This window comes from Homo sapiens, chromosome 9 (assembly GCF_000001405.40).
Source record: "Homo sapiens chromosome 9, GRCh38.p14 Primary Assembly".
NCBI classification, from domain to species: Eukaryota; Metazoa; Chordata; class Mammalia; order Primates; family Hominidae; genus Homo; species Homo sapiens.
In genome coordinates, this window is record NC_000009.12 from 88,744,706 (window position 1) to 88,754,068 (window position 9,363).

The following is a 9,363-nucleotide window of genomic DNA, read 5'->3' on the forward strand; positions in this document are numbered from 1 at the left end:
TCTCTACATTGTAAATACATCCATGGAGGGAGAAGGGAGGAGCTCTGTATAAACAGGAAAGTATAGAAGGGGCAATCAGGGCTGAGCTGCACCTGGGTCAGTAAGGTGGCTGCTCCCTGAGTGCAGAGACACAGCCTGTCCTGCCAGGAGCATGAAACCTATTCAATCAACATTTTTGTATGAATGTGCATCAGTGATCCTCAAGATATTAATAGGAGTTTCAGGGGACAAAGGCATTCTAGCGGCCCAATGAGGAAACCCCACAGTAAACAGGCTTAAATTCTTGTAGCATCTGTAATGTTCTGTGGGCATCCAAAATCCCAAATGTGTGTTCAGGGACACTTCCTCAGTGTCCCTAAACACACATTCTTTGGAGAGGGGTCAAAAGACTTATTAGTCGCTCCCAACAGAAGTGTCCAAGGAACACAAATTCAGAAAATAGCAATTCAGCTGCACTTCCTTATTTGCAGGTGAAAGCCGCCATTTGGTTTAATGGGAAGAGGTGGTTTTGGAGTCAGAAGACTGAGACTGGGATCTGCCTCCTAAGGATGATGGGTATTGGAAACTCACGCCTATGTATCCATTTGTACATTTGAATAGGGGTGTAGTTGTGGCAATGATCTGTAGCTTTTACTGAGCACAAGGTAGGGTGCCTAGAACTCAGGAAGTGTTTAATAAATGATAGCTCTTGAAATTACCAATGGAAAACTGAGTCCTGGTGAGAACCAACTGGCCCAAGGCCAGCCAGTAAGGGAGGTACAGGGCGGAGCTGGGTCTGGGTTTCTTGCCTCCCCATCAACATTCTTTTTACTGTACTACACTAACTGAGAATAGAAGTTGTACATAGTTGTATTTCTCTTATAAGGATAACAAATCAAATAGATGTTGCCAGATGTTTCTGTTTCACAGAAGAATGAAGTTAATGGTTGTATATCAGGGCTCAAACCTAAGATTTAAAGAGAGATTGCTGAGCAAGAGCAGCCATAAAAGATGTCTATGTTGGTATTTCAGCATTCCTGGGCCGCATAAAGCACCATTTGGTCACATCTGGTCTCCATCAGGCCTGAAGTGTTACATAAATACATGCATGGTTTATAGGGTAAGGAGGCCCTGTTGAGACTGGCCAGATGTGATCTGTTTAGGCTCTGCAGACAGGGCCCAGGAAACTGCCTGATAGCCCTGCACAATGCCCTCCCAAGGGACAGAGCTCTCTGCTGCCATCAGTGCATCTAGGGCAGAGATACCATGCTAGCTGCTGTCACTCATGTCCAACATGCTTGGGTGTTCAACCTCCCTCTGTAAAAGCTCTTATTATAGACAACCAGTGGAGTTCAGTTCAGAAGTTAGAGAACAAAATGCTTTAATGACCTTGTGGGCTCCATCCATCCATCCATCCACCCATCCACCCATCCACTCATCCATTCATCTACCCATCCACTTCACCCACCCATTCATCTATCTACTCATTCATTTATGCATTTCTGCAATCATTTACCCACATGCCCATTCATCCATCTACCCATCTATCTCCATCTATATTCATCCATCTTTCTATCCATCTATCCATCCACCTGCCTGTCTGTTCAATCTGTCCATCCACCTATCCAACCATTCATTCTTATCCATGCACCCACCCATCCACCCTCCCATCCAGTTATTCAATGAATATGAGCTCCTTGCATGTGCAAAGCACTAGTCTAGGCGCAGGGAATCCCGCAACAAACAAGTCAGGCATGGAGCTGACATTTGTATCATGTTCCAGAGGGGGAGACAACATTGAGTAATTCCACAATTATTCATTGGCTAGGGTAATAAACTCTCAGAAGAATTACAAAATGCTCCAAGAGTGTGTAATAGGAGATGCCTCCTAACTAGGAGGCCAGAAAAGGCTTCCCTGACGCAGTGGGAGTGCCGTGGGGCAGCCCGGAGCTCTGGCTACAGCCCTGCACCCACCCTGGCTACTGCTTGGTTGGTTTTGTTTTCCCCAGGCCTGCCGATTTTACAGTTAACTCTTTCCTCCATATCATAAGCTTCCAAAACAAGGTTATCCCTTGTTTAGGTAAAACCATTAAAATTTTCCTAGTATCAAGTCCCCCAAGCAATCTAACTAAAAGATTGAATCACAAAATAGAAAAGTCCCTTCTACCACAGCTAATGCTGGAGGAGAATTCCAGGGATCCCTGCACAGCAGTCTCAGGGCAGCATGCCTTCCTCCCCAGGCCACCCGGGGCTCTGAGGAAGGCTGTCAGACTTCGGCCCCTTCCTGTATACTGAGCTCCTGACCACAGTCTTGTGCCGGTTTTGCTTTTTTAAAAGGGACAAGCAAACAGGAATCTTCCCCATGCCTACCCTCACTCGTGCACACAAAGTGGGCCTGGCTGTCATTTCCTCCTGGGGTCTGATCTCTGTTTTATGCTCCTGCTTGTTGATTCTGACCCAGGTAAGCCACACAGGGAAAAGCCATCTCCCTGCTCCTTGCTTCGGGGCAGCAGAGCCATTTCACACACACAAACACCCTGCACCCCAGCTGCCTGGTTTCAGTGGCTGCTTGCTTATGGCCAGACAGCCGAAGGCCAGGCAGGGCCCGGCCTCTGTTCTCAGGTCTCAGCAGTGATTATGCATGCGAGGTAATTACACTGGTCTTGTTTCCGTGCTCTAGGCCTAAGCCTGGATATTCAAGGAAGGGAGCCTCTGGTTTTTTGCTACGTTATAATTTCTTTGTAGGGACAGGGCTCTAGGCGACTCCCAAATGGGCTACCTGTGCCGTGGCCACTCATTTCCTATTGTGCAGAGTAGCAATTACACAGCCAGAGGCTGGCCATGGGTGGGTTTGTTCTTCTCTGTGACATGTATTTTGTGAAACAGAAGAGAGGTCCTCTGTTTCTGAAAGCAACTCTTAAAATAAATACACCAGGCTCCTCCAAGGAATATCTGCATGAGAAGAAGTAAGCTACTATGTCTAGTGGCTCTCAAAGTGTTTTGGCGGGTTGGTCAGTCGGTCCACACAGGGAGAGAGGGGCAGGACAAAGGCCTCACCTCCCACTCAACACTTAATCCTGGTCTTGGGAAAGTTAGCGTTTGCCCACAGGTGACATGTTCTCAGGGCCTGACTACCTGCGGGTGGACACCAAGGATAAGCTGTGTCTTGAATTTTTTTAAAGCTTAAAAAGAAATTACTTCCAGCTGTGCATCATGAGAAGACACTGGTTGGTGTGTGTGAACCGATTTGCAGCACAAAGGGCCCCAGAGTACTTGGCTGGGCCAGATAGTGATGATGACTCATGCTGTCTTTACAAGATACTGCATAAACCTAGAGCAAGACAGAAGTTCCTCCCTCCCGACTCCACCCCCTGGCTTTATTGAGATGTAATTGACAAATAAAGCTTGTATACAGTTAATTGTACAATGTGATGATTTGATGCATGTGCATATCATGAAGTGACGGCCAAGATGAAGCTAATCAGCACTTCCACTGCCTCACATGGTTACCATTATTTTTGTGTGTGTGAGGACACTTCAGTTCTACTCTCTTAGCACATTTTCAACATACAGTACAGTATTATTAACTATAGTTACCATGCAGTTCATGGATCCTCAGAACTTAAGTATCTTATCACTGGAAATTTGTACCCTTTGACCAAAATCCACACAGTTTTTTCCTACTCCCCAGCCCCTGGTAACTGCCCTTCTACTTTCTGCTTCTAAGAGGTCAACTTCATTAGAGTCTGGTGCATATGTCTGTACTATGGAGTAGTATTCAGCCTTAAAAAAGAAGGACATCCTGCCGTTTGTGACAACAGGGGTGAATTCAGAGGACAGTGTGCTAAGTGAAAGACGCCAGACAAGAAGGACAAATACCAGATGGCTGTTCCTGAGAATCGAAGCAGGAAGAAGTTGCCCTTGACACTGAGCCCTTCCTGTGGCCAGAGGAAGCTGAAGGCAAAGAGGGAGGCTGGACCGTCCAGGTGAGAGGCACCTGACTGACCAGTGTCCAGCATGCTTGGCCTGGGGCAGCAGGGCTGATTGTGCAACCCAGCCTTTGGCTTCTCAGAGGCCCTGGAACAGCACACATTCCCTGGTGGTTTGAAATCTGAGAGCCGGAAAGAGCTTTCTGCCTTTCCTTTTGTGTCAGCTCACTTACTTGAAGAAAGCCCATCATCACAATGTTTTCTTTGGGTCCTGCTTACAGGATCTGGGCTTGTTTTGTTTTTCTTCTTGTTGTGTAGGGAGGGACCAGGATGGGAAAGCAATGTCCCTTGTAATTGTTGGGGTTTGTGCTTCTCTTGTAAAGCCTTGGGCTCAAGACCAGTGATCTGCAGTATAATGAGACTCGGCCAGGCCCTGCTCCCTGGAGGAGACAGAGGGACCATGCTGGTAACTTCCTTAACATCATTCAAAGGAAAGCCCAGTTTTTGTTTTCTCCTAAAGTGAAACTGCAGCCCTAGGTAAAAGGTACCTTGTAACCCCACGGATGTCTGTCTTCTACCTTCTCATTTCCCTTCTTCCTCTTCCTTTCTTTTGCCTTTTTCCCTTTTCCTATTTCTATGTTCCATAATCTGGAAGACCCATATATTTTCCAACTTTACTAATGTTTCCAAGAATTTGCATTAAAAGTAGCTGCTACAGTTCCTCATTAACTTGGACCCCATCTCTGGGAGTAAAGTGGGCAATTATTTCTCTGATTAACAAGGGAGGAGACAATGGGCACAGGGGCTCCTTCAAACCCAGACAGTGTTGTTTGTATCTAGATACTGCTAGACCACTTATGTCATTTTGGTTTGGTTCCCACATTTAATATCTTCCCCAAGTCATGTTGACCAACTCTGACTCAAAGGCCAGGATTCTTGGTTGTCCCGAGGCCCTGTTTCCCCACTGTTGAGTTGACAAGCCCATGGGAATTTCCCAGGGGTATGTGTAGCTCTGAGTTCTGGATAGTGTTTGCCACAGGACTGGGCTTCTGATGACACCAGGAGCACACACACATTGCTTAGCAAGAGTGTGCAGCTTACAGAATGGCCAGGCAGAAAGTAGAAAAGAGAGAGAGAAAAAAAGCAAAACTCGAGCTCAATCCAGAGACTCAAGCAGGGAAAAGATGCAGTGATTCTAGAGTGGCATGTGGGCCTTCAGAGGTGAACTCATGGAGGAGATGTGCAAAGTTTTGTGTCTGCACCATGTGGCACTCCACTGCTTATGACAGTGAAGTTTCAACCACCAACAAATGGCCCAGGGCAGGGGATTGTGACTTTTGGATTGCATGGATCACCAATATTTTAAAAGGAGATTCAAACAACACAACTGCTCCTTATCATCTCCTCAATTCATAAGAGAAACGGCAGCTGAACACTCCAAAAGTGTAAGAAGTACATAATCTCAGAACAATGGACAATCTTTAAATAGGATAAAGTTGTCTTTATGAAAAATTTATTACACTGTTTATATTTATCTGGTTTTATTATGGACTTGTAGGAACTTGGTTTCTGAGAGCACTGGTCCTGTGCTGTCTTGGGCCATTAGCCTAGAACAAGGGTGTTAGATGGGCGTTAACTTCAGGGCCAGCTCCAGCAATGGCCAGTGGATGACTGGGAACACTGTTGGGAAGGATTCTGAAGTGGAGTCCAGGCTCAATCATTAATTAGCAATATCTGACATGGGCATCATGGTCATTTTGAAGCACGTTCACAAATCCTTTTGCACTACTTTCATTGAAAGGGGGAAATCTAACTTTTAGATATGGTTTGGCTTGCTTCTGACAGACAGAATGTGACTTTTGAGCACTCACACTTGGAACCCAGCCACCACTGTGTGAAGAAGCGCACAGCATACGAGGTAGTCGGCAACACATGGGTGCCCAGAACAAGAGCCCAGCTGAGGTCCCAGCAGACAGTCAGCGTCCCCCACCAGGCACCTGAGCTAGCCTACTGGTGATCCCATCAGCAGTCATCAAGCTTCCCCAGACAGAAGTGTGTGAAGCAGTGGGAAATTGCTCCTGCCAAGTCCCGGTCAATGTTACAAATTTGTGGTGAAAAAAATATTGCCATTATCATAAACTATGAGTTTTTGGGGTGGCTTGTTATGCAGCAGAAGATAACCAGAGCAATCCCAGGATGGAAATGTGGCAGCAAACATTCACTATCCCTATCCAGAGCATTCTCAGCTATTATTCTTCCACCAAGGTACCCCTGATTTTATTTGAAAATTTAAAAACGAAATGTGTCTTGCCTAAGTTGATGAAAAAGGCCAAGGTCACATTGATTTCAGTAGGTTGCACTCAAATGGACCAATCCTCCATGTTGAACTCAACTTCTGCTCACTCCTCTGAAAGATACTGCAGGGTTACCATGACAACCTGAACATATGCTGGGTGAGAAACACGAAGAACAGAGAACAGGGGAGCACAGGGCCATTTTTTGCTGGGAGAATGTTTTCTAAAAAATATATTTTTTTCCAGGCCAAATTATTTGCAGCTGGTCTTCTCTTGGCAAGAACACTTCATCTGGCAGTGTATTTTCTGTCCTATAGAAGTGAAACATTCCCTGTAAATAGCAGGGAAATTAAAAATATTCTCTTTGTATCACTTTTAAAAACCTCCCACAACTGCTATGGGCAGAACAGATGTCTCCAGGGACCTTGAGGTGCCCTCGCTGCCCCTGAAGGCTCGGGCCCACCTGTCCACTCAGGATGGGTCTCTCCAGAGTGCTTGCCCACTCACCAAAGCCCTCTGTGTAAAAGGTTGTTGGTGCCAACTGTATTCTGCTTTCTAAAGTGGTTGCACCAGAAGAATTCAGTCTGAGGTTAAATTAGGGCATAAGAATTTCAGAATTCAGAAGAGAGAAGTCCTGCACCCCAACACTCAGAAACATGCTCCCAGGCTGAACTTTCAGACAGCTGAAGGACACATTCCCATGCTTGGGTCATTCATTAGAAACTCCCTTTCTCCAGTAACTCCAGTGAGCAAATGTGAAATGTTTTGTGCTGCAGGTGATGCAGCATCTGTATTAGGTGCTGCCTGTGTGATGATGATGAAGGCCTTTGAAGGCTCAAACAGCATAGACACATGGTGAGTCATAAAACTGCCTAATTTTAGTGCAATTAGGGGGAACAAAGGAGCAGCGAGGTCAGCTTTCTGGAACATGCATCCTCTGTGCTCCTTCCTGGGGATGGGTTGGGTGAGCCAGGTAGAAGGCCGGGAGGCCCAGGTCTGGCTGGGCCCAGGGTGGGCACGGGCACAGGGCTGGAGACAGTACGCTGCTCCCTAGGTGGTGGGTCACTTGACATAGCCAGGGCATCTGCATGGCAGGAGCATCCCCATGACCACCACACTGGGAGGGAGGGCCCAGAGGCTCCTGCGGGGAGCCCAAAACGGCTCACCAGCAGGGAAGAAGGGCTCGCTGAGGCTGGGGGCGTGTCCCCACCTCCTCCTGCTGGAACTCCCACTCCTGTCCCAGAACCTTCTCAAGAGAAGAGAGGTTGAAAGACAGCAAAAAGAAGGCCCCAACTCTGCAGTGTTTATTTATTTACAGACACTTAGACTCCTTAGTGGAACTCTCAAAGGCTTCTGGACCTGAGCCTGGAATCCCCACCTCACAGGCCGAGGACTGGCCCCTCGAGCCTCCACTTCCACCTGCACAGCCACAGCCTCCACTCTGTGCTGCAACCCCTGAGACCAGTGGGTGAGGAGGCTGGGATGAGGTGGGGTGAGGACTTATTAGTGCAGGCCTTGGCCCCAAGAGGGCCCACTACCATGGGGGTGGGTAGACCCCTCAAGTCCCCAAGTGCATTCCTTCATCCCTTCCTGAAAGTTTTGGGGTCTGGACTGCACCATCCCTGACCTCTTCCTTCCACTTGACACCCATTTGCAGCTCCTGCTCAGGCATGACATCAAAGATCACTGCTTGAGGGGGCTCTCCTGGACCCCCAGGGATACGCATGCATAGCACCTTGTAACTCATACACATCTCAATTTAAAATGAATGTTTATTTGTTCACATTGAAGTTGCAGCTCTAGAATGCCTGCCTAACACATGGAAGGAGCCTGGCCCAGGGGACAAGAGGGGCAGGAACCATTCATAGAGGAGCCATCCCTTTAGAGCTGGAGTGGGGAGAGGGAGAGAGAAACAGAGGCAGAGAGAAAGGGAGAGACAGAGAAAGAGAGAGAGAGAGATGGAGAGAAAAGGAGAGAGAAGGAGAGAAGGAGAGAGAGAGAGACAGAGAGAAAGGGAGGGACAAAGTAGGAGAGAGAGGAGAGAAAGAGAGAGAGAGAGAGAGGACCAGGTGGACTTGAGTTTTGCCCATTGTGACCTCTCTTTGGAGGCCACACAGCATCACTTCCACTGCATTACACCCCTACCCCACCCCAGGCAGTCACCAACATCCAAGAAAAGGAAAATAAACTCTCCCTACTCCTTTAAAAAAATTGTGTCACAGTTCACATAACAACATTGACCATCTTAACCATTTAAAAATGTACACTTCAGTGGTACTAAGCACATTCACCTTCAATAAAACTGAAAAGAGGTACAGTTTTATTTAAAATAATAGCCTACAGACTATACTATCACTTAAAATATGGTCATTTGTGTGAAATTTATAAGGTTAATAATAAATAATAATATAATATTATGTATTATATAATATATATTATAATAAATAACATTATAATAAATGATACCCATGGGGGAAAAAAGTACATTCACACTGTTGCATAACCATCACCACCATCCATCTCCAGAACCATCCTTTGAATTAACCATATTTAGAGGACCTAGATCTGCCACTTTCTGCAGAAGAAAAATTTGCTGCAAGAAAACTGGATCCAGCCCTCAGGAAGGCAGCCCCCTGGTCAGCACACCTAACCCTGGATTAAGCTGGCTCTGTGTGGCGCCTATTCTTTTTGGGGTCCAGGTAGAAAGATGGGGGCTCACAGCAAGTTCCCAGCCACCACTCCTCTGGGCTCGGACAGCTCGAGAAAGGTCAACGTTCGAAAGTCCCTCAGATCCTGAAACATAAACACTGCATAATAAGAACGTTTGGAAAAAAAAGATGGTTTCCATCATTTCCCAGCTGTCTGGGTTAATGGGCCGCTTCTCTGAGAACTAGAGAGATTAGCCATAATAAGAGACACAGATGGCCATGTGTGAACCCCGGGGAACACAGCCCTGGCCCTTCGCACAGCTGTTTCCTGATTCACTTTTCTTCTTCAGTAAACACTTTCCTGCACTCTGTTTGGAAGCAGAGCCAGACCATCTGAGGCCCTTTGATGTTGAGGAAGAATGAAGCTGGATGTAAATTTCAATGGATGCAGGAATGAGGCCAAGAGACTTAAAGGAACTTCTCCAGCCCTCTGGAGCTGGAGCCCTCCGGAGC

The 9,363-nt window shown here is 46.8% G+C and overlaps 1 non-coding gene across 1 annotated transcript, besides 3 other annotated features; it reads right to left on the bottom strand.

Moving 5' to 3' along the window:
• Positions 1–1,130: 1,130 nt before the first annotated feature.
• MIR4289 (microRNA 4289) lies at positions 1,131–1,200 on the bottom strand. The gene has a single exon (NR_036252.1). It is a non-coding gene; the product is annotated as a microRNA 4289 (primary transcript).
• Positions 2,424–3,112: an enhancer, noted in NCBI's record as "OCT4-NANOG-H3K27ac-H3K4me1 hESC enhancer chr9:91362044-91362732 (GRCh37/hg19 assembly coordinates)". NCBI's record gives its function as "activates a minimal SCP1, AML or CMV promoter by ChIP-STARR-seq in primed H9 embryonic stem cells {active_cell/tissue: H9 hESC(primed)}" and the evidence as "EXISTENCE:reporter gene assay evidence [ECO:0000049][PMID:30033119]".
• Positions 2,424–3,303: a biological region, named in NCBI's record as "Sharpr-MPRA regulatory region 914".
• Positions 3,009–3,303: a silencer, noted in NCBI's record as "tiled region #914; HepG2 Repressive non-DNase unmatched - State 22:ReprW, and K562 Repressive DNase unmatched - State 5:Enh". NCBI's record gives its function as "represses a minimal TATA promoter and a strong SV40 promoter by Sharpr-MPRA in HepG2 and K562 cells {active_cell/tissue: HepG2 | K562}" and the evidence as "EXISTENCE:reporter gene assay evidence [ECO:0000049][PMID:27701403]".